Genomic DNA, 26,984 nt, shown 5'->3' with positions numbered 1-26,984 from the left:
CATGATAACATCTCAAGTGATTTTCTCAGTCAGAAGATAAAGCATATTGTTAAGAAGGGCATCTACAGCGAAGCTTGCATTGAGACAGTTACAATTGCAACACTCATTTTTAAAAACAAACTGCCCAAAGTAATTCCAGCTGCGTTTTAACCTTGGTAAGAGGAGAACAGTCTGTGAGTTGTTTTTCCCCCTGATCCATGGGTGAGGTGGAGTTGCTGGGTGGACCCTGTGGTCAAGGTTGGTAAGTGTGGGGCCAGCAGCCAGCTGCTCCCATTCGTCCACCACGTACCTGGAGGTGGATCTGTTTCTGTCATTAGGAGGATTGTTGCAATACAGAAAATTATTACTGCTCACTGGCTCCTTAGGGGAATCAGAATATTTCTGTGGTTGGGCAGGCAGTAAATAATAACGTCAGTAATAGTGTCGTGAGTGATCAAGCCAACGGCCTCTCCTCAACAAGCACAAGGCACCCTCTTGAACCACACAGAATTCTCACTATGCTTTGTTGGCTTTTCAGACTTCAACGGAGACCAGCTGAAGCCACACCTCCAACTGGGCAATCTGGCCTCCCGCCCTCTATTCATAGGAAAGAGACTTGGATTCAGAAAGTCTTGTGTAGCAGGAAATTGACAAGAGGAGCTTAATCTGAAGTGTTACCTGGACTTTCCCAGGCCAAACCCCACTTTCAGGCATTCCACTGGCGGCGGGGTGGGGGAGGTCGCTGGACATAGGGTATGAGGCTGCAGAGACCCTACAATGGACAGGGAAGGTGGGGACAGCAGAGAGTCCCCATCATCTTAGTCTTTCCTGCTTCCTGACCACCCTGTCTCCTAAGGAGATGGTGGAAGTTGTCTGGCCAGGAAATACAATTAAATAGTATTGCTCAGGCACCTCTTCACCGGGAAAAGGGTTTGTGTCAGCAAGTCACAAGGACAGCCCCTTTTAGTCTACCCTTACAATGCTCACTGGTTAAGAAATTGGGTTCAGGCATGTTCAATTATTTTGGTTCCTGAAGGCATCAAACCCTCCCTCCTTCTTGTCTTTGGGCATGCTGCTGTCTGCCTATGACACCAGCCAAACACACTCCCTGCTGCCTGGCCAAATTCTTTAGAATTCGTATAGGCGTCACCTCCTCCAGGGAGCCTTCCTTGATCTTCCCAGCTTAGGCTGGACCTGGATGCTGTGGGCCCACGTAACAGGTCCATATCATGTCCCCTGCCAAATGCATGATGCCGGGGAGGCAGACAGCACAAGAGTAAAGCAGAGATTGAAAACTAGGGTATCTGGCTTCAAAACCCTTCTCTGCCACTTATGGGAGTAGAACCTTGGGCCAGTTGCTTAACTTCTTTGAGCCCAAGTTTCTTCATCTGTAAAATGGAAAGAGTAACAGTGACTTTAGGGAAAAGAATATGATTTATTCATCACTGTATTCCCAATAATACCAACGTGCTTAGCACATAGTAGGTGTTTAATAGCTATTTCCTGATGAATGAATGAATGGTCTATTACCATTTTGTTGGTGAGAGACTCATGTCCCAAATCAGTTAGTGACATTCTTGGCCTGTGTCCTACCCCCTAAGATTATGTCATATTCCCAGAGGGACAAATAGGGAACACAGATCTGTCTGCCTTCCAACACAGATTCAGCTCATGCTGACCTATTGCCTGGCATTTCCAATGTAAAAAATATCACGAAATCACCTGCACACACCTGCCTAGCACCCTCCTAGACTAGGCGCCATGGGAGTTTAGATATGAAGTACATGCTTTGTGCCCTTGTAGAATTTACTTGCTGAGAACTCAAGATGACCACATATGAACAAAAAGCAAGGGACTCAGGCAACATCAAGTGCTCTGGGAGTTCAGAGGAAAGGGTGATAAAAGGGAACTGCAGGAAGCAAGGAAACTCAGGGGAGGAAGATGGGAGCTTGCAGCTGGACACTGTGGAGGGAGGGAAAGGAGGGCTGGAGCCCTGGGAACTCAGGGGGCTCATGCAGATGCAAGACTATGCTTGGTTGTTTGCAGGGAATCGAGGGTGTTTACTGAGCACAGGGAAACACTGCTGGCTGAATGGGGAGGGGCCAGATGACTAAGGTCTGGTCTGATCTCTCTGTTTACTATGATCAGGTTATCAACTGGGAAACTGCTACCTTTCTAAGATATCATCTCTTACTTTGGGAGAAACAGACATATCTTCTAAGATATAGAGGGCCCCTCTGGCTGTAAATAAACACAAGAGCACCTTGTTTATCTAGGACACTTAGAGGCAAATATCCAAAACCTTAAATATGCAGAATATAACGGTGTGGGGGAGTTCAGAAAAAAAGATTGTGAGCAGCTACACTGATGTTGAGAACTCCATCCTCTGTTGCTCTTACGCTTTGTCACTTGGGGATCACTCCCCAGTCCTAACTCTGCTGCAAGCTTGGCTGGCTGAAGCCAACTGGAAATGCTGGCCTTGGGATTGCACTGGCTTGAGCAAAGCTTAGGTCCCAGAACTCAAACTTCCCAAGAGACAGCAAGGGCTCCTGAAGCAAAATTGATAACCCCATAAAAAAGCAAAAACAAGTCAGAATGGGAAGGCTACAGGAGACAGGCATACTCGTAACAGGATGTGTGAAAGCAGGAGGATTGATAGAAAATAGTCCCAAACTGTCCCCTGACAAAGTCCAATGATGCTAACACAGTTGCTAACTTATTGGGCATCTACATAAAAAGGCAGAGCAATCTTGCAAGATATTTATTATTATGACAGCTTTGCAGATGAGGAAACTGAGGCCTGGGAAGTTTAAAAGGTCAATAAAAATTCAAATCTTAATCTGCCTGTTCCAATTATGGCAATACTGGCTGCTGTCACAAAAGTGAAGCTTAGAATTAAAAGCCTGAATCATTGAGAAAAAGTTGACTCCTCTCAATGTAGGTTTTAAAAAGACAGGGAAGTGCAGCACATGATTTAGAATGTTCTTTATCAGAAATCCTTTAAAAAAGAACTCTTGGAACTCTTTAAAGTTCTCTTTTAAGAACTTTAAAGGTGGATATTTCAGTATCTGGACACTTCACCTAAATGGAATGTCATTCTTCAATGATACGTGGTATATGAGATATTGCTGGGCTGAACATAGCACATACAATCATTTATGTAGACTTCCTTGAGGATTTTAGCCTAAGAAATGTTCTTTCATTTCTTGCTAGTGGGTTTTGCTCTTTCTGAGACCCATCAAGGTACCCATCTAGAAATTACCAATTCTTTTTTTTTTTTTTTTGAGACAGAGTCTCACTCTTTCACCCAGGCCGGAGTGCAGTGGCACAATCTCAGCTCACTGCAGCCTCTGCCTCCCAGGTTCAAGTGATTCTCCTGCCTCAGCCTCCAGAGTAGCTGAGATTACAGGCACGCACCACCAAGCTTGGCTAATTTTTTTTGTATTTTTAGTAGAGACGGGGTTTCACCATGTTGACCAGGCTGGTCTCGAACTCCTGACCTCAGGTGACCTGCCTGCCTCGGCCTCCCAAAGGGCTGGAATTACAGGTAGAAATTACCAGTGCTTAAAAGGACCCAGCCTCCTGGTTTTGGTTTTATTTGGTTGAGCCTCTGGGATGGGGTGGGTGCTGGGGCTGTTTGAGAACTCCTGAACAAGCTGTGTATTACATGCAGGTGGGTGTTTTAAAAATACATACATTTTAAATTTTAGAAATGGAAAAAACCACTCAACTTTGTGTATGGGTTTCTAAAACCATAACATTCAGTCTGTTGGCTGATGACTCAAGCGAAAGGCCTCTGTCTGCCGGAGCAGCAACATCCTAGCATCCTCCACTCCACAGGGAATAAAGTGGCTTCTCTCTGTTTGCCCAGACGGCCCGTAGTCTCGCCCTTTTGTCCTTTGGCTGCAGGAGTCCAGCAGTACCACAGTGGCCTCTGGTTTCTGCCCACAGCTTCTATACAGGCCCCCAAACAGCCTGTGGGTGCCCAGGATTTGCATTTCTGCAAGTGGCTGGAGGGAGGAGTCAAGGGAAGTTCACCAGAGATGGTGGCCTTGGATTGCACTGAGTCAGGCAAAGCTGCGGCTTGTGAGTGAAATTTTCCAAGCAGACAGCAAGCTTCAATGGAACAAAGTTAATAAGCAACGGTTAGGGGAAAAGGTCTATCTGGGGTTTACTCAGCAACCGTCTCAACCTTTGGGATGTAGAGTTCAAGGTATACAGGGAGCCAAGGGCCCAGGGGCCACAGCCCAGGATAAATTCTTTCATATCAGGGCCCTGTTTCCAGGCTTTGGGGCAATCTTTGCAGTTAACCCTGCACGTAGGAAGAACCCGGGCAAACACGAGGTTGGGTGTGCTGACCACTGCTCTGTCTCCACAGCTGAGTTGGCTGCTTCTCCTGACTTTCTTGCTCAGTTCCCCTTTTTGCTGGGGCATTGCTGCTGTGCTCTGTGATCGGAAGACCAGCCCAGGCAGTTTTCTTTTGGGAAGTATCCACCTTATGGGCCTGCAGAGCCAAATCCAATTTGAAGCATGCACCCAAAATAAAAGGAGAAAGCAGGCTAATTTCCTTGGAGAGTGAGTGCTTTCCAAACCCAGGAGCTCCCTTGGAACGAAAATGCAGTATGGAAGAGAGAGGGAGAGCCGGAACAAGACAGAACTTCCAGGACTTCAATTAGATTAATTGTTCCTTTCACAAGAAAGTAAAACAAGGCAGTGGGGAGGGGAAGCCCATTTATGGCAAATGCAAATGGCCAGGGGAAATGTCAAAAATACCTTGAAGAGTGAGAGGCTGAGAAAACCAGATGAGTCTTTCTAAATACAAAAATTAATGAGAGAGAGAAAGAGAGAGAAATGGGGAGTGGGGGAGAAATGGGGGGAGGAACAGAGAATTAATGACAAGGTTAAGTGGATGAGGCTTAATCCCAACAGAGCCTCTCTGACAGTTTGGCACTGGGAGAAACAGACCCCAGAAAGATTTTTTTCTGACCTCCTTCACTTTTTAGGTTCAAACCAGACACATGAGGTCATGGAATGGGGAGAAAAACAGGAAGTGATTTAGCGAGGATGATAAGCCAGAAGATAACCCTGTAAATTGCTGGCTTCCCCTACTCCACCTCCAGCAAGGGGCAATGCCTTCTTCTTCCCCTTGTCAGAGTCTCTGGCAACCTTCAGTTCTCCCCATCTCTGGGACTGAGTCCTGTCCATGGAAGGGGTACCCTGCAACCCAAAGCAGGGCCTTTCTGGCCTTTCGTCCTTCCCAACATGTTTTAAGCCATGCTTACTAGCTCCTAAGTTTTTCCTTCCAAAAGCCATGCTTTCTCCCTCTGCCACTATGAATACAACATAGGATGACCTCTTGGCAATTTCCTTGGGAGATTTGCTGTCATAAGCATAACAGAATTTGGCCCTTAGTAGAGAAAGGTGCTTAGTCAAATTTCTCTGAGCTTAGACCCAGGCTCTCTCTGTACATTATGCTTCCATTTGTGCCAACCTTCTGCAGTCCAGCCAGAGGAATCAGAGCCCAAAACACCTTATAAAGAAGCTCTTCTAACAGAAATCTTTGATAAAGTTCACTGTCAGGGAATCAGAAGCCTTGGGATGCTGAGCAAATGTATCCAGGGTACTCATGTAACTTAGACAAAGAGGAACTGATGAGTTTCCCTATGTCATCCGTTGAGTCAAGAGTGGATCTGGGATTAGAAACTTCATCTTATGACTCTTCGTCACATGAGGCATTCATCCGGGAAACCCTTTGGTTTTCAACAAAGGCTACCTCTTGTTAGGAGAAAACCATTATGTAGGTGCAAATTAGCCCTAGGGGGATAATAATGACATCAATTCACTGAGCCTCACAGTCTAGCACTAGTTAAAGAGGGGCCTTGTTTCCTCCATGAGGAAGTGCTGGCCCAGACCTGGCCTGTAGGAGTTTTGCCTTCTCCTTGGTACCTGTCCTGCCAGCTGGCCCCCTTATTAATTTTTCAGTATTTGCAATTCCTTGCTTAATAGCAAGGAATGCTTAGACAATTTATGAATCACATGGGAGCACTGAATACTTATCAGAGTAACAGCATTCCGTAGGCGCTCATTTGGGGCAGAATATGACTGTTGGCACATTCTTTTCTGCACAAAAACTCTCACTTTATTTCCAATGAGAAAAGACTTTAAGATGGAGCTCAGTAGACAGCTTAAAGCACATCTGCATTCTAGACATGCTGCCTGCTTCCCAACCTTAACTTTTAGGGACCTCGGTAGTAACATGGCATTTCTAAAGTACTCCCAAGTGTCTAAATGTCCACTTGGGAGTTCCTAAGCCACACATTTCCAGGGTGGCAGAACCAATGTTGTAAGACCAGCTGAGTCACCTTGGGTGACTGACCTAACCTCTCTGTGCTTCGGTTTTCTCTCTTTTGCAAAATGGAGATCATAATGGCACTAACTTCCCAGGGCCCACTGTGCAAAGTAAATGGATTAATATTTGTAATGCAATTAGAAGAGTGTTTGTTAAATAAATCCATGACACTGACTTTGAGACTCTACTTGTGTAGCACAGCTATCAAGAACCAATGTGAATCTTAGAACTACTTAGATTTTTTTTTTTTTTACCCTTTTTTTTTTCTATAAGAAAACCAGTTACCGCTATATAAGGTAACAGGCTGATCCTGCGTGGCTGGATGCGAGGGAAGTCTCCACTTGGGGATACAGCTACTATCTTATTAAGGAAGTGGGTGGGGTTTATACATGTAGCAGCTGTGGAAATGGGGAGATCTCCAAGTGCAAGGTAACCCAAAGTCAAGAGTAGAGTTTTGTAGTCCAGCCCCTGCCACCACATGGAAATTCTCCTCCACTACCGGCCTTTGGAGGTAGGTTAATATTCTCTACTTTTCACTCAAGAAGGCTCTTTCCACCATACTGTGGGATCAGCCACACCTTTATTTCCCTGGAAAGGGAATGCCCCTTGAGGTTTTCCTCTGGGGCCAGGATCCACCACTGGTTAGCAGCAGGTCTTGGGGTGAGGGGTGATAGAAGTGACAAGAGCAGGGGTGGGGGCAGGGCGTGTGCATCTCATGGATGGGATACACAGTGGGACAGGACGGTGCTTACTTGCAGTCGTGCTTCTCGATTTCAAAGTGAGGGTTGAAGTTGAGGACAATCTTCTGGTTGGGTTCGGGGGCGTAAACAATCCACTCGCAGTTCTGGTGGGAGGGGTAGTCCTGGGGGTAACCGGGAGAGGTGATATAGCCAGCATCTTTGGAATTCAAACGACCTCCGCACGGTGGGTCTGAAAGAGAAATCAACGACCCAAAGAACTTCAAATATGTTACAACTTTCTTCCCCCCACACTCCCTCCTTCTCTTCTGTACCAGTGTCTGATTAAAACTATTTTACAGACCTTTTATGGCAGTCCAGAAGACTAACCTACTTACTCATTCGGTGGAAGAGATTATTCCGGCTCATCCCTCCCCCTACCCACCCAACTACACACACACACACACACACACACACACACACAGATGAAAGTATTCCAGAACATGGCCATAAATATTCTCAATTACATGGTCTGTGATTAAAAAAACAAGAGGACTGCAAACTCAACATGCCTCCCTGCCTTTCCTGCCTCCCCTCCTTGGCCCATCTTCCTCTCCTCATTCAACCTCCTATCTCTATCTTTATCTCATAAATCCTTCATTTTATTCGGTGTCTCCCAGCCCAGCCCAGGCAGCCAGCAGTCAGGGCTCTGGGAACTGACAATGGTGGTTTTGTGGTGCCGACCCACAAGCGAGCCTGGTAACAATTACATGTGGTGCAGAGGAAGCACTTTCAGCTTTGGGCCAGAACAGGCCCTGGAGGGTGATTGCAGCCTTTTTAAATTTTTTTTTAAGAAAAAAAATGCAAACCCCCCAAACATTTAATTCCATATATACCACAAATTTGATTTATTATTTCATTATACACCGAATGGAAAAATCTGTATTAGAGAATCTACTGGCTCTAGCCTTGGAATTTCGACAAAGGTGCTTTGTGTTGAATGAACATCTGTTTCTTCTGCGCTGTCTGCCCACTGTCCCTCCTGCCTGGTCACCACCACCAGAGTGTGCTGCTGCTTTGTCCAGCCATAACTGGCCGTTTGCAGGAAGGGCTGGCTCCCTGTACCTGCAGTGCCTGGCTGGAGGCAGACAGCTTCATGTGGCCTGGGAGGGAAGGGAGCCACCTTCAAAGGCTCCAAAGGTGGGTGATGACATTTGAGGAATCTCATCTATTCGGGAGTAAAGTTCTGCAATCCCCAGCAGGGATTCTTGGGAAATAGGGAGTTTTGCTTAAATACCACAGTAGAACAGAAGCTGGGAAGGCACATGAGACATGGAAATATTCAGAAGCCTCTCGGAGACCTTCCTGAGATGTGTGTGTCTCTTAGCATCAATCACGATTTAATATCGCCATCTGCATGGAGCAGCATGGGCCCGTGAATTATGTATTACGACTCAGCAGCCGCCCTCCAGGATGGGTCTTTCTCCTGTGTTCACTCTTTGAGGGAACAGGTCATGCATTTTTTAACTCTACAGGTGCACTTTACTATTCCCCATGTCTGTTGGCATTACTATCTCCCAGACCTCTGCTTTAGACTACCGGCCTGACAGGCTTTAAATGCATAAAAGATGGGCACGCTGCACACGGGTGGTTGGGACACAAATCCACACAAGTAGCCTTTTCGGCATCAAGCCTCCACGAGCTCAAACTGTGCCGTATTGAACTGCCCAGAATGGAATGAATTCAGGTCCATTTCCTACTGGGTGGAAAACAAAAGCAGCCGTTTCCTCAGGCTGGTACACAGCACATCATCTTCTTACCTAATGACCCTGCACCCACCCCAGCCCATGAAGACAATGAGCTCATCCCTCCCACCCAGACCACATGAGGCCAGCCATGAGGCCCAGCTCCTCTGCAGCCAATACCCATAGGCTTTCCAGGTGCCCACACCACTCACCCATGCTGGGAACCTAATGTCATCTAGCCAGCCAAATTGAGGCCCGTTGGTCCTGGCTTATGCACATGAAATAGGGTGGAGTGGTCCTCTGAGAAGGCAGAGGTGTGAGGACATAGATCACCAGCTGCTCTTACTCAACTAGCAGAAGGGGGAATTTTCTACCGGGTCCAGCTCCTCTGCCAGATATTTTGCAGAAAACTGCAGCCCTGCCACCAACTCACCCCAAACCACACTTTTTTGCCTTGGAATTCGTCAGAGGAAACCTGAGCTGAGCTCCTGTTTAGTAACTGTTATGGTTTCCACATACTCTCCACTCTCCCTACCCACACTCTCTCCCTCCTTTCCCCATCCCTTCCTCTACTTCTCTCCAATTACTCTTGAAAGGGGAACTTTTCTCCCTCAATTCCCCACACCCCAGGTTTAAACTTTTAGTAATTAGACCAGGCACACAGATCAGCAATAAAGACAGGAAACTTCTTCGCAGGAAGGTTTAATTTCTCATCTACAGCAGAAGTGATCATTTCTTCACCACCACCACACAAAAAAATTAAACTATATATATATCCCATAGCTGATAGTCTGTACTGTCTGCTGTTAAACCAAAAGAAAAAGGAGTCATCCATTGCTTTTTTTCTATCCTTTCTTTACCTGGAGAAAATCAGGGCAGTTATTGAAGTATCAGAGAACTCATTAGAACATCTGCTTCAGTTGTGTGTTGGTAACCTTTTCAATACTTACAAATTTATAAATTCACATTCTTGTTTGGCTTGCATTCACACCCAGAAACACACACAAACATAGATATTGAACATACTTCAAGTACATATACATATCAGTAATTCACACTTTAGTCCTATACATACGTTCACACCTTCTCATAAAATATCACACATCATTTGCACAAACATATATCCACAAAGATAAATACTAGAATTTCTGTTTTTATTTTTCTTGGAGAGAACAGAATTCTTGAAACATATCAGTAAAAATTGTAAAGAAAACACACTTAATCATTCTACTTCTCCTCTTGATAACTGATCTTTCCTTTCTAGGGTTGGGGACACATCATTTCCTAAATACAAACATGTCCCAATAGAAATTAGCTAAAATTTCTTCTGAAGAGCTATACCATCCATTACTTTGTAGGTCTTTATTGTGTTCCACAATGAACTTTATACATGGTTGCTGTTCTGTTTCAGAGGAGTCAAGCTAAGCCAAAGGAGAGTTGAACTCAAGGGCAAAACCCTTAAGGCCAATCTCCATGTACAGAGGGGAAATTGACCCTGTTTGAGCTACTGAGCCCGCTGGGTGAGTTGACAAAAGACTTCATTCTGCAACTATTTTGTGAATACCTTTCACCTGGGGCAAATTCATCACCCGAAGAGAGATAGCAAAATCCAGGCTTGGACTGTTAGAGCATTTTCTCCTATACCTGGGAGGGAAGGCTGAGGGATGAGCCAGGTCAGGTCTGAGAAAGGCCCAAGGCTGAAAGGAATAAAGTGACAGCTCCAGATGTAATTGGAAATAAAGAGAACACTAAGTTCTGAAGTCACCAAGTTCTGATTTTCCTCTTATAAGTACTACTTAGGTGTTTTTATTTGAAATGTAAAATATCAGATTGTTTTAAACTCTTTCTGTCTTGCTCTTTTTCTCCTTCTTAAGTATTGTTGTTTTGCTGGTAGTCTAAGTACCATCTGCCTCTGCCTAGGGGTAACATAGCCCTGAAAAGGCAAAGGGATGTTGTACCCCTTCACTTAGGAACTCACCTTCCTACAGAACCCAATCACTTTCCTTGCGAATATTTAATTTTTAAGAAGTATTAAGAATGGGAAAAGAAGATCTTTTAAAAATCTGGTCTGCCTTCTAGAAAAATGTAGTTGGCATTGTTTTAAAGGAACACTGGATAACCTGAACTTGACAATAATATTTGCTAAATACTGAAGCCTGACTGTAGCAGATAATCTGATTACTATAGCTTACTTCACGACAGCTTGGTAAAAGACCAATCAGATCCCTCGCTTTAGTTGAACTGAAGGAAAAAGTCCTTGGCGAAACCAGGGAAACTTGGCCATTGGCTGAATGTGGGATTAGAGGGCCCAGTTGTTGTAAAAGGTGAGTCTGGGGTGATGGGACTGGGTTACCAGGAAAGGGAGGGATCGACATTAGCAGAAAGATGGGAGATGGCACCCAACTCTTAACTCACTCAATTTGACCTTTCTGGGGCTCAGCTTCACAAACTGTAATTCAAAGAATGGACTGAATTAGGTGTGTAGCTTTCAAATTTATTTGCTTTTTTTGAAGTACTTTTTTTTTTTCTTGAACAAAACTCTACCTAGACCTCCCATGTACAAAGAACATAAAAGGGAGCTCTTCTTGGATGCTGGGAGGGAGGTAGCCAGAAGCATTGTAGTGTCCAGGCCTCCTAGTTCCTGCCCTCAGCTCAGAAGGGCTTCTCTGCAAGTCCACTGGGGCTTCCTGGAACATGGTTTGAAACCCTCTAAATGGGGCATCTCCATTCCCTGTTACTTTAAAATGCTATGGAAAAGAGAAAGAGCAGATGACTAGGAGACATCTATTTCCTATGTATACCTGAGGGCACTTAGTGGAGAAAAGCAATCGGTCTCATTTCCTCTGAAAATAATATACTTTATCTACTTTATAATTTATTTCTTATCTACAGCATAATCCCACTTTGTCCCTATTTCCACAGCATTGTTTTCATTTAATTATTGGTAGCAAGGCAAAGAAGAAACTCTTTCTTCTACTTAAAAAGAAAGGAGGTTGTCACCTTGCCACTTACTCCACCAGGAAGTTTATTAGAAATAGCATTGGAGCAGGATTTAAAAGCCTAGTAATCAAGTCTAGTCTCACCACTAGCAAGCTGTGTGACCTTGGGTAAGCTAGTAGACAACTCTGAGCCTTTGTTTTCTCATCTATAGAATGAGAGGGGTGATTCTAAAGGTCAGTTCCAGTGCTAAAATCCAAAGCCCATGTAGTGAGGTGGGGAATAGATCTTATAACCCACAGATTGAGCCAAGAATTCAAAAGATTCTCTACCCTCCTAGACAATAAGACATTTACTCAAGGTGCTACCCCTGTTCTATCTGCTTGGTAAGCCTGAAACCAAACTCCAGGATTCTTCAGAAAACATGTCTGTCTTGCATTACGGAGAGTTCAAATGTCTCCTTTAATCACATCAGGTCTACTAACACGAGTTTCTTTTTGTAACTGAGTCTGTGGCTGCATATTTATAAATATTATGGATACACAGTTCTGTGTGTGAGCATGTCAACAACAGTGATGCATGAAAAGAAAAACCAAAAGGAGTTTCTTCAAATCCCTCACCCAGATCATCTAAGTCGTTGGCTCAGGGTTTTAACCAAATTTTGCTCACCAACCCGGGATAAGCTGCGTTTTAAGAATTATTTCTGTGAGCTGAGGCTGGATTTTGTTTTATTCAAAGCAACTTCAGCCTGTCACAAGACAGTCTCATAAAATCTGTATCTTGGCTTAAGCTGGGAAGAAATGAGCCAATCCATCAGCCCAGGAATGTGGCTGTTTGACCACTTCCTAAGGCAACTGGGAAGGGATGCAATCTACTCAATTTATGGAGACTGGTGGCAGTGAATGATGCACTCCTGAAGGCACAGCAAATGGAAATCCTTCTGAACTTTTGAAATGATAAAGTTCAAAATCTGAATAAAAGGGCCATCTAGGAGGGAAGGAGAGAGGGAAGCAGAGAGCAGGAGAGGAAGCCAGCATATGAGTTTGGAAATGAATAAAGAATGAAGCAAATTCCCTCTCTTAAAACACCTCCAATGAATTCACTTAGGAGAGAACTGGAAATTGGGTCTGGAAATGGGGCCTTTTGAACATCTCTCCCCTCAATCTAGATTCTAAAAATGAAGCCTCATTTAATCGGTAAAATGTAAGTTTGATGCGATTACCTCTCCTGACCTCGAATCATGCCACCTGTGTTAACCTTATTATTTGTCATCTTATATCATAAACAAATGCAATTCCAATAGGGCAGCCGATATAATGTCATTAGTTTATATTTATGTCCTCTCTTTTCCAGCCCTCATTGCAAATGCAATTTTGATGCCATTGATGAGAGATCTGGGATTACAATTCCTGACCATTTTAGGAGACATTTGGGGAAGGAAACAGAAGAATAATTTTGAGGTCTCTCCAAAAACCAAAGGAGAAAAAAAAGTAATATAATATTGTCTTCATTTATTTTGATTAACTGAAGCTTATGTTGAAACATTAATGGCTCCCCATTGGTTAGCAAGTGAAACCCAAACCTCTTTGCCTAGCAATTTGGGCCTTGAATTGAGCCCAAGCTATTATTTATAATCTTGTTTGCAATTATTTCCCACCATACATTCTAAACTGCAGCTTCTGAGTGTTCCCCAAACCAACCCAGCATCCATTTCTCTACTCACACCTTCCCCTTCCCCTGGTATGCCCTTCCCTGCTCTAAATCCCACCTACTCTCTCACTCCAGGCTGCCTCTGCCCTTTCTCCTCTCCCATACTGGGAGTGGTCTTTCTCCTCTGTGCATCTGAGAGGCTGAAGCTCTTTAGCATCTTCTGAGATGTGTGAGAGTTCTGGAGGGCCTCATCCAGTCTACTGAGCCACCAGCAACTTGAGGTCATGACTCCTTGCTGATCCATCTTTGGCAAGTCTTACAGGATCAAACCAGAACCTTTCCCAAAAGTCAGACTCATCAAGATTTGGTGAATTAACCAATTAAGAAGTGACCAAAGGAACATCAAAGGTATCACTAGATAGGACAGACTCTGAGAGTTCTATCAGAAATTATTCTGCGGCCACAGCTACTGCGCTTCCCTCCCCACCCCCAGCTGTTATTAAGTGCAAATGTTTCTTAGTGGTGAATTGAGAGTTTGAATAACTTGTCTGGGATAATAATACCTAGTCACAAGTAGGTCAAGGTAGAGTTAGTGCGAACTATGTCTCCTAGAACACCCTAAAGCAGATAATAATGATAAATTTCAAAGCACATTCACATTTTATTTTATTTTATTTTATTTTTTGAGACAGAGTCTCACTCTGTCACCCAGGCTAGAGTGCAGTGGCACAATCTCGGCCCACTGCAACCTCCGCCTCCCAAGTTTAAGCGATTTTCCTGCCTTAGCCTCCCAAGTAGCTGGGATTATAGGCGCCCACCACCATACCCAGCTATTGTGTGTGTGTGTGTGTGTGTGTGTGTGTGTGTGTGTGTGTGTGTGTGTGTATTTTTAGCAGGGATGGGGTCTTGCTATGTTGGCCAGGCTGGTCTCGAACTCCTGACCTCAGGTGATCTGCCCACCTCCTCCTCCCAAAGTGCTGGGATTACAGGCATGAGCCACCATGCTCGGCCATTTTATTTTTAATACTAGTAAAATTAATTTATCTCAGGGGTTTTGTCCCCTTCACTCCAACCCCCACACTTCCAAAGGCAACTTTAAATATTGGTTATCTGTACCACCAGGAAGATGCTGACTATTACTTCATCACTAAGCCATTTGTTGGTATTGGATTTTCTTGTGCTTGGTTTCAGCAAACCTCTCTTTACTCAACCCCCTCCTCATTTTCCTTTCTGTAGCCCCTAGAATGCCTTTGGGGAACATCTGTTTTATTTTTTCTCCTGTATCCAAACAATTATTATTAGCATTCGGTCTAGTAATTTGCAATTCCCATTATCTTCTCTGCTGAAAGACTCGCCAGAACTGGTTACTGGTTATCGCAGGATTTGTGGAGGCGGGAGCAGGGTACCACGGCCACGTGCACTCAGCTGGCCGGCAGCCTCGTGCACTCTGTGCTACCGAGAGCTTCTCTTTTGTTATTCCCAGCCCCTCCTTTTTTTCTGGATTAGATAATGACTCCTTTATGAAGACCCAGAGGGAAATGGGATTATTAAGACCCTTGCTGGGTAAAAGCTATTTTGTCTTTATGATGACTTTTTTGAGTTCAGCTGCTGAAGGGCCTTAGTGCCAGAGTAGAAGTTATTACACATTCGGGAGAGCGCCTTAAACACGGTGTTCCCTGCTGAGCACACTCTCAGTGTTGAAGGATGGAAGGGGAGGAAAAGGAAAGGAAATGAGAGATTAAAAAGAAAATAGGAGGTAAGAATACTGAAAACAGAGGAAGAAGGAGGGAAAAAATGCAAGGGAGACATAAATCTAAGATAAGAACTCAGCAGAGAATATTCTCTGAAGAAGAGCATGGCGAGAGATAATATGGTGCTTACAAAACACAGAGGTTTGGTGGTGGAAGAACTGAGAATAAGAATTATTTTTTAAATCTCATAAAAATCAACTTACCACAATGGTTATAGTGTGCTTTCTACGATCACGAGATTCCACTAACCCCACTGAAACAGTTTTAAAGATTCAGTGACTTCAGAATGGGCTTCATATGTGCCAAACAGTATTCTACATAATCTGACATAGCCCAACAACCCTATGAAGTAGGTATTGTTACCAAACACATTTACAGACAAGGAAACCGAGGCACATAGACTAAGTATCTGATCACACAGGATACTGGGATCACAGAGCCAGCAAGTGGCTGAGCTAGATTCTAAACCCAGGCAGTCTAGTTCCCATGTTTCAGAAGCTGGGAAGGCCAGGGATGATCCCCACAAAACTTCTCAGTGGCAAACCTACTTGGTAGCATTTAGGGAAAGACAAATATTTTGCCTGTTTGAAAACCCCCTTTTCTCTGCCTGTGCCAGTACTCTGTCTGTGTGAACAATGAGAGATGTGTTTGAGGCTGGGGTGTGAGTGGGCTGGAAGCACTTAACACCTTCTCCACTCCCTGTACACACAGGCACTCAGCTCCTTGTCATCCTGGCCCTCTTTCCTGTGTTCTGGAAACCCTAGGCATGGGGCCGGGGAGGGCGGGTGATGGATAGGAAGTTCAGGTCTGAAACCATGTATCACAACATCGAAGGGTTTTTTTGTTTTTTTTGTTTTGTTTTGTTTTTTTGTTTTTTGCCAACTCCTATTTCTCTCCTTTCTTCTCAATCCTACTCTTCTCTATCCTAAATGCCACATTGTTATTGTTCTACTGGATAGGAGTAGCATTTTCAGAAATGGGGGATTTATTTTTATAGCACAGCTGGTCTGCCAAAGGTCACATAATTTGGCAATGTTCCCAGTGGTTAAAAATTAATTTCTCCTTATTAATACAACCAAGGTCCCAGAGGATCGGAGCTCAGCCTTATCTAAACTTGACAGCTTCCTAAACCTTTAGAAGATGCTTTCTCCTGGAGGGCCAGCCATGATACAAGGCCACTGTGTCCTGGAATCCTACTCCACTGAATCCTGTTAGGCAATGAAACCATTAAGCCTCTGACCATTTCTCATCAAGGCAGATAAAGCTTTGAAAAATACTGTAGCTCTCCAGGACAAACTTCTGCAGCATCTTCCAGAAATGGGTTAATTAAAAAACAAAAATCAGCAAACAGCCAAGTCCTTACCTGGAAGGAACAGTACAAAGACTAACTTCTGGTGATCAATATACTTATCTGCCACTCAAGGAAGGTATCTCAAAGATTATCCAGTTGCAAGTGATGGTCAGATAATAAAATACCTCAAATATGTTAATAACACTACAAGCCATTGCCCAGATGACACTTTTCAAGTCCTTTCTTGTCAGTTCAAGAAATTAAAAAGATATTCTTCTTTTGCTCTATCTTTTAAGAAAGGAAGATCTCAGCTCAAGTTCCTAAAGTCTTTCCAAACTGGACCTTTGGAGAATATATTTGGAAACCTCTTTACCTGGCTCTTGAATTCTGTCAACTCAGAATTGTCTTACACTCAGGTCATCCTGAGTCAGTTCATTTTCCTGATTGCTTTAGGGAAGACTTGAGTGAAATGAAAAACACCAGGGTCCCCAGAATCATCTGGTCCCTGGTGTCTCTCCTCACTGACCCCAGACCCCTCCCTCACTGTCATTTGTATTCGTGCCTCACTGCATATGAATTGGCATTTGGATTCCTAGCTTTTTCTATGCCTGGAAGATAGGAACTGGCCTTTCTGCTGCAGAACGTGGACTTGATACATTCAACAGCAGGGGATCAGAGCCATTTGGTAGACAGCAGGAGTCCTGTCTGGGTAGCCTGGGTTCCAGTCACTGCAGCCTTCCAATCTTTCATTTTGCCAGTTGAGTGCTCCGTAGCTTAATGTCTGAGGGCTCTATGGGATGACATAAAACTCCAAACCTGATGTGCACTGGCGCATTCACAATTCCACCAGGCACCGCTTGGACGAGTAGGGGCCTGCCCGGGGCCCTTTGGGGAGTGCTCCTCTTGCCACTGTCTTGCACTGTGTGCTCTGCTGGCAACTGGCCACAGCTTCCCTACCTCCAGGAGCTGATCACGGGGGAAAAATGTTTACTGGGTACCCATTTAATGTGGGCATGAGACCAATCCCTAGAGCCCAGAGCAGGCCGTCTGCGTAAAATCTAGGAGTTTACAGTTTACTTGCAAATTATTATGCTCGCCAATGGCCATCTCACATTTTGGGGAGACAGGCTAAAAGAAACACTTCAAACCCTTATCCGGCGCCTAGACCGTCATTGCTTCTCTTTCAGGATTTGTCTGAACCCAGACCTGTCTCCCACAGCCAATTTACACCTCTTATCTGATCATCCAGTCCAGACGGAAGGGTGAATTGACCGAGAATCTGCGCGTGTCCATGGCAATGGCGTTAAAACCCAAGCATAGATCAAAGCTCTCCAGACGAGGAGGGGAGGGGTAGATGGTTATGGGGTCTGGGTTCTTTTGGCCCCAAGCGATGTGTCCCGGAGGTGGGGACATTAGGCCTGGGAGTTGCCACCATTTGAAGAAACCCATTGTCAGGACTTGAATGATTTTCTGAGCAAAACCCAGTCCCCCCGCAGATCATGATTAACTCTAGCAAAGGGGACGTTCGTAGTGGGCGCTGATCGGGAATGGCTAGCGCCAGGGGGCTCTCCTCTCTGTCTGAAACCGAAAGAACAGGAAGTGGAGGGAGGGGAGCCGAGCAGGGAGCACACGCCAATAAACCTGAGCGTGGATCTCCTATCTTTTAGAAGAAATTCAGCCGGAGCCGCAGAAGCCGCAACGCATATGGGCAAGATCCCCTAAAACTTGGTCTGGAAAGCTGATTCCCGAAGGTTCCCCAACCCAGATGATTCCCAGAGGGGCGACAAGTCTATTCCAAATCCCTCCCCCACCTCCAAACACTAGGGCTACCGGCGCCCGCCACCCAGCCGCTGGACGCCTGCGACCCGGTGGGAAAGACCCCCGGCACAGCCAGCCCGAGTCGAAGGGCGGGGGCAGCCCTTCAATCAGAGCGCGCCTTGCCTCCATTAACTTGTGTTGATATTAAAAAGAAATCAATCAGTGAAAATGAAGCATCGGCCGTGAACATTTCTTTTTCTCACGTGGAAAAGCAAAGAGCGAGGCGGCTGGGGAGGGGAGGCGGGAACTCGCCGGCGGCTGCAGGCAGAGGCTTCTCCAGAGACCAGCGCTGCAGCCGAGACCTAACTTTCCGGCATAGGGCAGCGTTGAAGAAATGCCGCAGGCTTTTCCCTGGGGGTGTCCTTAGGAGGAGGAGGAGGAGGAGGGCACAAGCATGGAGTAGTTGGAGGCGGCCAACTTCGCGGAGGCTTCAGCCTCGGTTTTGCTTTCGCTGGGAATATTTTTGCTTAATAGAATGTTTATGGATCGCTGGGCTCTGTTTCTGCTGCGTAGCCCAAACAAATCGATGCGGCGTTAGAGAAGGCGCTGGGGGGCGGGGAAGGGGAGGGAGGGCTAGGAGGAGAGCTGAGGGGCTATCACGTCCCCACCACGTGGATGGCCGCACGCCGCGTGCTCTTCACCTGTTCCTGCGCACCGGCGGGCGCTGGGCGCGCGGCGCTTCTAGAGGCTGTGCAAGTTGCGCGCATTCCTGGGGCTCAAGCTGGTTCCTTCCCGCCTCTCTCCGCCCTCCTCTCCGAAATCCCACCCCAGTTTCCTCTCACCTAGTTGGGCCAGCGCTTGGATTCCCAAGCCAGCCGGCCTCGGCCTCCCGCCACTCAAAGCCGTCTCTCTAGGGGTCGCGGCGAGCCTGCCGCGCAGAGCGGAGCGCAGGGGACTGGCGGGGGCGCCCGGGGCAGGGAGGGAGGCAGGCTAGCGGCTGCACTGCGGTCTGGCGAGGCGGCGCAGTGAGGAGAGGGGCAGCCTGGTGCGCGTCGCCCATGCGGCCTCCCAGCCACGCGCCAGCCCAAGGTGCCGCGCGCCGCGACCGCCGTGTTATTTGCTCAGTTGCTCCCCCGCGCGCACCTTCTGCCCCATCTTGCTCCTTCCCAGAATTGGTTCTCGTCGCCGGCGGCGGCGGCTGAACCAGGCCCCCTTCCCGGCCGGCGCACACCGGGTGAGTCAGAGGTATGTGGCTTGGCCTCGCCCTGGCCACCCGCTGCCGGCTCCCAGGGTGCCAGTGCTTTGCTCCGCCTGAAAGCCTGAGCAGCTCACGGCTTGAGATCGCATTTTGGGGAGCTGGAGGTCCCTGGCAGGTCCCAGCTTCGAATCCCACCCTGAGATCCCACCCCGGGTCCGAGGTTGCCCCGAACTCCGCGCCTCTGGGCTTCTCTGGAAGTGACGCAGCACTGCTGGGGATTGGGATGGGAGGGGGTTCTGCAGAGAGCGCGGCAGGCAGGTGGCAGAGCGGGAGTGGGTCCAAGCGGGTGTCGCGCACACACGTACACACACTCCAAGCAGCGCTCGGGGACAGATGTGCGAACATCTGGGGTAGGAGATGGCCCCTGAGTCTTCACGACCCCTCCCGCTCCGCACAGCACACGGAACCTGAAGTTGCATGTGTGTGCGCGCCAGTGTGAGTGCCAGTGTGTGCGCGCTCGCGCGCTGGGGCCTACTGGAGTCCGTGTCTGAATACATAATATACTGTGGGCATCCTCACGGCGCGCGCGCGTGTGCACACACACACAGCGAATCACACAAACATACATAATTTACGCAGCATCCAGGTCTGTGAGTGGTAATTTAATTCCGCTTCAAGCTGGGAATTTAGAAATAAGGCAAGGGGGAACGGCGGAGGCCCAGAAAATCTCCCCAAGTGGGACCCCCACCCATCCCTTTGGCAGGATTTGCAGCTGCCCTGAAGACCACTTATGGCAAAGAAAGAGCTGCAAACGTGCGGATCTGGGTGGCAAAGGCATTCCTGAATTTTCTTCCCCCCTCAAATAAATGCCCAAGCTTAAAGTGGTGTGTGTGCTGGTGGGGGGCGTGAGGAGAAGGAAGGGTGACAGTACCAGATGCAAGGCTAGGATCCACTAGCTGATGTTCTGGGGATGCCAAGGAGGCTGCAGAGTTAGCTCTACCACTGCCGCCATCGCCTTGCAAGTGCCTTGGGTGAGGGCACTTCAGGAAGGCTTTTTCGCCTTTCTTTCACCCATTTCCTCCATAGATGGTTTCTCCATCTCCAATCACCTGTAGCAGCTGCTAAGAGTTTTGTTGTTAGATTCCAGACACTGTTCTCAGAGGGGTAGGGAGGCTCACTCTAGAGAGTGGTCCGAGAAGGAAGCACAAACCCCACTGCATTCCCCATGGATTCCCCTTTCCAGAGCATACCCCTTGCCGCTCCCCACAAATGCGGTCCCCAGACTGTTCTGGGCCTCGAAATGCTTATCTCCACAGCAGCCTGTCCACACACCCTTTTTGGCAGTGGTTGAGAACAAATTCCACTCAAAAGTTTCTAACCACTTCACAAGAGTGAGAGACCTTCGAGGGCCTGCAATTTGTTTTAGCTAATAATAATTTCTAAAAGAACGTACGATTTACTTTCCCAGACAACACATGGATGAAGAGAGAAGAGACCAACCGTCTTGGTTGCCAGCAGCACCCAACCCCAAGCCCCTATCTCAGCCACAAGCCAACTTGCTCCACCAGCCTGAGCCTTATGATTCTGAAGCATAACCAGTCATTCTCCAAAGAATCTACAGCATCTGAAAACCAAAACTAAACTCTTGTCTTTCCCAAGCCCTTCAGTTAACATTGCTCAATGTAGCTAAGTGGAGGGAATGCAAATGATTTATATTTCACTGGCTAGTTGGAGAAACTCAAGGGAGATGTGTTCTGCTTCAAGACAGGGAAAAAAAATTCCCAAAAACTGTAATGCAAAGGCTTTGTAGTATTTTTAAACCTTTGATTCAGTCCATATGTGACATATGAACACCGCCAAATTCTGTTTCAAAACACACTCACACACACACACACACACACACACACACACTCCTAGCAGGAGAGGAAAGTTGGGTTTTAGCAGCCGTGGTGGTGTAGGAAGGGCCGGCTGGGATCTCTCTTTAAATTATTGAGTACTGAGGGAGCCTTCTTCTGTGCCGTTCTGCGTGGCCTTCCTGCTTTAGCGGTCACTTTTAAAGGGGAAACCATGTTGCAATAAATAGAAAAACTTTCAGTGGCTTACCTGGTTGGCCTCTCACTTGGTGTCTTGAAAAGTAGAGGGCTAAGAAAACCCAGGTGAGAGGAAACATATCCATTTTGGAGAAGGTGGCTCTTTCCAGAGCTGGGTTCGTAGGTTTCTTGTTTAAATCTTTGTGTTTTTCTCTCTTTTATTTTCCTCCTTACAACGTCTTATGCAGAGGTTTCTAATGGTCAGCGTTTCCCTCCTGAGTCCTGGTGGCTTGTCTTCACCTCTATTCTTGCTGGAATTTCCACCTCACCAGGAGGAGAGTAGCTCCTGAAATCAGCAAAGAGGGAACAAGCCGGGAAGAGAACACGGTTTTCCTCTTAAAAACAAAACGCATATATGTTCTCTCCAGTTCCTCAAAGTGTCATTTCCTTTATCCTACAAATATCACGAGTATTTCCCGAAAGCCAAGCGTAACAATAATGATAATAATAATAATTAAAACCAAGACTTGCCTTGGGCATCACACGGCCCCCAGGCAGCTGTGTGATCTCAGAGGCGTAAACTGACACACATCCCGCGGCACCCTTGACGGACACACGGGCGGAGGCAGCCGCCGCCGGACAGCCCGAGTGGAAGGCGGCCGCCCTGCTCTTGTCCTCGCCGGGTTCCCCCGGCGGGAGCCTCCCCCAACGGCTACACCCGCTTGGCCAGCCTCTCGAGGGGAGTCTGAGGAAGGAAGCTGCTGCTGCTGTTGCTGCTGCTGGTGCGGCGGCGGTGGCGGCTGGGATCGCCTGGGAGTGAGCGAGCCCCTCTCCGAGTTCGCTGGCGCCCGCCCTCACCTCCACCTCGCCGAGTGTCTGTGCGGCTGAGGATGTGCTGGGGGCCGGCTGCAGGCTGGTGCCTCGCTCGCGATCTCTGCCTCCCCTCCGGCTCCCCACTGCCTTTTCAGGCCGAGCAGCATGTGGATGTCAGAGCCGCGGCAGAGCTATCCGATTACGCGCCGGCTCAGGGCCCGCCCCTTCTGTGTTCCTGATTAAAGAGGCAGCCGCGGAGACGCGCGGCGCAGAGCAGAGTGCCGCGGCACCCAGCTCGGGCGGGGCGGCGACGGCTTCTCTCGGGCCGCCGCAGGATCGAAGTTAAGGCGGCGCCCATCCCACCACCCCTCGCCCGCCCCGCATCTCCCGATCGCCCCCGCGCACCTCCGCGCCGGGCCGCCGGTGCGTAACGCCCTGGGGAAGAAGCGCCCCCGGGCACCCCCAGGGCGCGCCGCCTTGGCCGTGTCGCCCCCACCCAAGGGAGACCCCGGGGGGACGGGGGGAAAAGCCTTGTTCCCCCTAAATTCCACGACTCCGATGCCACACACGCAGAACCCAACACAATGCCACGCGCGATGGCGTTACAAGAGGAGTTGGGTGGCGTACGGTGTTTGGGGTAGCGAGCCGGTCGGCAGCTCAGCCATGCGTTCGAACAGGCAGCGGTGCGTGGCGGCGACACACACCGTCAGCCCGGTCTGAATAAAACCCCAAACACTCGCTGCGTTTACTACTCAGATCCTTTGTTATGTCCCAAACATGCTCTGCTCCTCTCTGGGTTAGGATTTCGTTACCCCTGCGCCTTTAACTGTAACTACCCTAAAAAGAGGAAAGACTTTCTTCAGCAAATAATTTCTTCAGGTAATTAAATTGGATTCCATCAAGTTCCCCCGAAAAAGTATAGGTGCTTGAAGGCGTCTCATCCAAATGCTACTGTAACTACGTCTATTCACATTTTCCCCCATGGAAACGTGGTCACAAAGCCTAGAGAAAGAAAACATCATTATGCCAACTATTTTTAAATGGAGGCGTGAAAACTGTTTAGAGGGAACTGCAAGCTAACAGTTGGGGAAACACTTGTATCTTTGTTTCTGAGGATGGCTTTGTGGATTCCAAACTGTCTTGCTTCACCAGACACCTATTACTACATTATCATAAAGACTGCAACAGAAACAGCCTAAATTACACCCTGCACATGTACACCTTTTCTGCCACAAAAGAGGTATATGAAAAATAAGAAAATTCAGAAAAATATTTACAGATTAAGATTTTTTTTAAATTAAGAAAGTAAAATTTTCTGTAGATTAAGAAAAATACAGTTTCGGTGACGAGAAACACACACCTGACTACCCATTTTCTTCTTGGCTTGTACTTGTGGATTCTTCTGGGTGGTTTCCCTCCTTATCTGGACTTGCCCATTAGCTTTATCACTTTTAGTGTTTGAAAAATCTGTAACTCCCACTTAACTGTTATTTACACTGAGATAACCAAAACAAAATTGAATCAGAAGTGATTTGCAAATAGTTGAGCCAAGCTGTGTTGGGGGGTGGCGCGGGATTTTAGAGTGGAAATCCACAGGCTGAGTATCACACTGTTAATCTCAGATGCCTGGTTGGGAAAGGCACAGCACAGAGGCCTCTGAGTTCTTCCAGGGAGCATGTCTCTTGGCTAGCCTAAATGCTACCTTTCATTCCCTCTTTGCCTCCCTCCTTCCTCTTCCTCCCTCCTTTCCTTCCTTCTTCCTTCCTTTCTAGGCTTGAGAGCACATCCACATTATTAAAAACTCCAGATTTACATTTCTCCTCTTTAAAGCTCAATTGTAAAGAATGACTCCAAGCCTTAAATATTTAACAAAGTAAAAGAGCAGTTTGGATTATTAACCTTAAGCAGAGATCCCGGTTTATGTCATTGCCAAGATGCTAATCTAAGGACAAAGAACGCTATCTGTAGTGACAGTCCCTGAATAGAGAGGGCCATTTAATATCACCTCTCCCCACCACTCACCAGGCATGCCAAACCATTTTTGCCAGTGCCCAATGTGGGAGACTCCTGTTTGTGAGAATAATGTAGCCAGGGTTTAGGTGAAGGGCACTGTGAAAGGGGGAAAGAAGAGAGAAAAGGTAAACCTAAGCCCACTGGAGAACCATAAGAATGACAACCCTGGACTTCTGGTCTTGGGGTCTCAGGGATGAAGGTCCCCATCAGGCTGCTTCCAGAGTAGAGAAAAGTAAGAATCAGTTTTGTTCCTGGCCTGGTTGCCTACACTGTAACTTTTCATTTTTCAGCGGTGTCCTACAGGGGACGCTCACTTACTTCCTGGGAGTCCTCTGTACCAGGGCTGCAAGACTTCCCACTCCCCTTGAGTGAAGGCCTCATTTCCTGCAGTTGGACAGAGAGTGAGTCTCAGGTTTCCATCCCTGGGGACTCAAGCGGCCAGACCATTTTTCAATCCTCTAGGGGGCAGCACTCAATAAATAATGGTAACACCACCCAGGGTCACACTTCTGGTGGTGCTTTTAATTCCAAGGAGTTCAAAGTGCTTTATCAGACCAGGGAAGATTCAGAGTGAGGCCGATCTCTCCCCAGCCTACTCTGAACAAGACCCCACCGGCCCAGAGAGGGCTTAGAATTGTTTTAACCTAAGACTTCCAAGGACTCTTGGGAACTAAACACAAATCTCACATGTGCCACATGGAAAACAAATCTTTAGGGAAATTCTTCACACTGGGACTGGCTCAGACCTGCCAGTCTTGTTTCCCTCTAGACTGGGATCTCAGGGTTTGACTGCAGTTGGTCTGGTTTCCACCAGAGGTATAGTGGTAAAGAGCTAGGTAGGCACCGTGCTTTTCAGTATTTTGTGAGTCCACATCCCTGGCCCATAGGGAAGCCTGCCTACCTAAAGGCCAGTGTCAAAAATCGGGTTTGTGATCAAAAACACTGAGCTGACTAGATAACAGCTAATTAGCGAAGCTGAGATTCCTGGCCACATCACTGACTCACCTAGGATGTTTCATGTCATTATCCTTAGTTGTAAAATAATACTAGATAATCCACTCCACATTCCATTCCTTTGACGGGAAGGGATGTGGGGGAACATGAAACAGGTTGGTAAATGATGCTAAGAGAAAGCTGTTACCAAGCCACACCCCTGTGGAAAGTTAAGTGTTCCCAGCTAGACAGTCCCAAACCTTAGGGTATATCAGCATCACCTGGAGGAAGTGTTAAAAATTCTGATTCCTGGGAACCATTTTCCTGCAGGTGAAATTCCTTGGGTCTGGAGTGGTCTTTGGGAATCTGTATTTTTAACACACATCTTAGGTGATTCTGATGCAAAGCCTCCACAGACCAGTAGTTGGGAACTTCTGATCTGATGTGTTCTATTTACACACAGCCTTCCATAAATGCTCTTCCGTTGAAGGAAACCTGGACAAGCATTCCTTCACATTTCCTCTCTGGGTACTTTTCAATATGGGGCAGATGTTTCAGGTTTCTTGGAAAAACCACCAAGAACAAGTTCTCGAAAATGCTGCAGTGGTGGAATTCCCAGATTTACCTGTGACCTTTAGCAGCAACTGCAGAGAGCCAATTTGAAAACACCAAAAGCCTCGCCTCATGCAGGCAGGAGCTTTGCAGGGACATGTTCAAAGTAGCGGCTGATGGGTTTATGAGCTGGAGCCAGACCTTTCATCACCAGCCCACTCAACCATTGGTGGTTACTAGAGGTTCGTTTCAGGTATGCTTTTCCATCTGTGTTCATCCCACTGTACTTACGAAATGTTCATGGATGCATGACTATGCCAGAGGTATGCGAGCAAGACAGAGATTTAGGTCTTGCCTCTCGGGAACACAGGATCTAAAAGCTCCAGAAGTTTCATGCTTCCACAATAGATATCACGTGTCACATGGTGCTTCCCCTTATCGGAGCCCTAACATCAATAAGCTCTCACCCTGAAAAGGAAAGATCTAAGGCATAATTGCATCTTAATCTGTAATTTAACACACTGCCCTAGTTAAGGTTTAGCTACATCTGTCTCAGAAGCAAAGCTTCAGTTAAAATGGAATAGGTCCTAATTTATTATTCTCTCTTTTGTTTGATGTCAAAGTCCAGGTTTCTGGTCACTAAGGGTTTTTTTTTTTTTCTTACTCGCCTTTTAAACAATCAACTTTTTTTTTTTCCAGCACACTTGAATATTGCCCAGTAGTTTCTATTTGACATTTCTATTCTAAATTGATATTTCTAGTATATTCTATTTGGTGGGTTTCTGGAATCCTTACAGATTTCCATAAAGTATTGAAATCTCCTTCACTCCATACTGGGTGTATATCTCATTTCTTCCTCAGACACAAACACTGGATCTGGTAGGAGGGGCCCTTATGAAACAAAATTTAAAAAGCAGCAGCAAAATGTGCAAAATTCATTCAGACCTCCCTGGAATCCTTGGAAAAAGAACCTAAAGAAGCCCTATTGCTTCTTCCAGTCTGCCTGGCTTTAGCATGAGTCTGATCTTCCTATGCTACATTAATTTTTCTACCTTTGAGGCAATAAGCGTATCAAAAAGACCCAGTCAACCCTCTCCCTTAAAACAGCACTCTCCATTAAATCTTCTGCAAGGACGGTGGTCTCTGTGCTGTTCACATGGCTACTGCGCACTGGAAATGTGGCTAGTGTGAGTGAGTCACTGAACTGTAGGTTGTATTTAATTTTATTCATTTAAATGTAAATTGCCGCATGTGCTTACCAGCTACCATGTTGGACAACTCAGCCTCAGAATCAAAAGACCAGAGCTG

At 46.8% G+C, this 26,984-nt stretch overlaps 1 protein-coding gene across 16 annotated transcripts in view, besides 5 other annotated features; it reads right to left on the bottom strand.

Annotated features, from left to right (window-relative positions):
- Positions 1–22,301, bottom strand: part of NRP2 (neuropilin 2) — a 115,631-nt gene extending 93,330 nt beyond the window's left edge. For 9 of the 16 annotated variants that reach the window (XR_007083522.1, XR_923057.4, NM_201266.2 and 6 more), the window contains exons 1-2: positions 21,439–22,301; positions 7,081–7,258 (exon numbers count right to left, since the gene is read on the bottom strand). Coding sequence is in view for 14 of the 16 variants with exons in the window: in NM_201266.2 (NP_957718.1) it covers positions 7,081–7,258; positions 21,439–21,511 (251 nt within the window). In the remaining 2 variants the exon portion in view is untranslated. The remainder of the gene's footprint in view (positions 1–7,080; positions 7,259–21,438) is intronic. The other 7 variants (XM_047446170.1, XM_047446172.1, XM_047446174.1 and 4 more) reach the window with 2 other exon arrangements.
- Positions 4,054–4,223: an enhancer, noted in NCBI's record as "active region_17018". NCBI's record gives its function as "activates an Ori minimal core promoter by ATAC-STARR-seq in GM12878 lymphoblastoid cells {active_cell/tissue: GM12878}" and the evidence as "EXISTENCE:reporter gene assay evidence [ECO:0000049][PMID:35858748]".
- Positions 8,504–9,338: an enhancer, noted in NCBI's record as "H3K27ac-H3K4me1 hESC enhancer chr2:206560188-206561022 (GRCh37/hg19 assembly coordinates)". NCBI's record gives its function as "activates a minimal SCP1, AML or CMV promoter by ChIP-STARR-seq in naive H9 embryonic stem cells {active_cell/tissue: H9 hESC(naive)}" and the evidence as "EXISTENCE:reporter gene assay evidence [ECO:0000049][PMID:30033119]".
- Positions 19,676–20,306: an enhancer, noted in NCBI's record as "H3K4me1 hESC enhancer chr2:206549220-206549850 (GRCh37/hg19 assembly coordinates)". NCBI's record gives its function as "activates a minimal SCP1, AML or CMV promoter by ChIP-STARR-seq in naive H9 embryonic stem cells {active_cell/tissue: H9 hESC(naive)}" and the evidence as "EXISTENCE:reporter gene assay evidence [ECO:0000049][PMID:30033119]".
- Positions 22,781–22,900: a silencer, noted in NCBI's record as "silent region_12261". NCBI's record gives its function as "represses an Ori minimal core promoter by ATAC-STARR-seq in GM12878 lymphoblastoid cells {active_cell/tissue: GM12878}" and the evidence as "EXISTENCE:reporter gene assay evidence [ECO:0000049][PMID:35858748]".
- Positions 25,188–26,387: an enhancer, noted in NCBI's record as "BRD4-independent group 4 enhancer chr2:206543139-206544338 (GRCh37/hg19 assembly coordinates)". NCBI's record gives its function as "activates an origin of replication core promoter dependent on BRD2, P300/CBP, MED14 and CDK7 cofactors, and independent of BRD4, by STARR-seq in HCT116 cells {active_cell/tissue: HCT116}" and the evidence as "EXISTENCE:reporter gene assay evidence [ECO:0000049][PMID:35650434]".

The sequence above is a fragment of the Homo sapiens genome, chromosome 2 (genome assembly GCF_000001405.40).
Source record: "Homo sapiens chromosome 2, GRCh38.p14 Primary Assembly".
NCBI classification, from domain to species: domain Eukaryota; kingdom Metazoa; phylum Chordata; class Mammalia; order Primates; family Hominidae; genus Homo; species Homo sapiens.
Note: the sequence above shows the minus strand (reverse complement) of the source record. Positions and strands in the feature narration are given on the sequence as shown.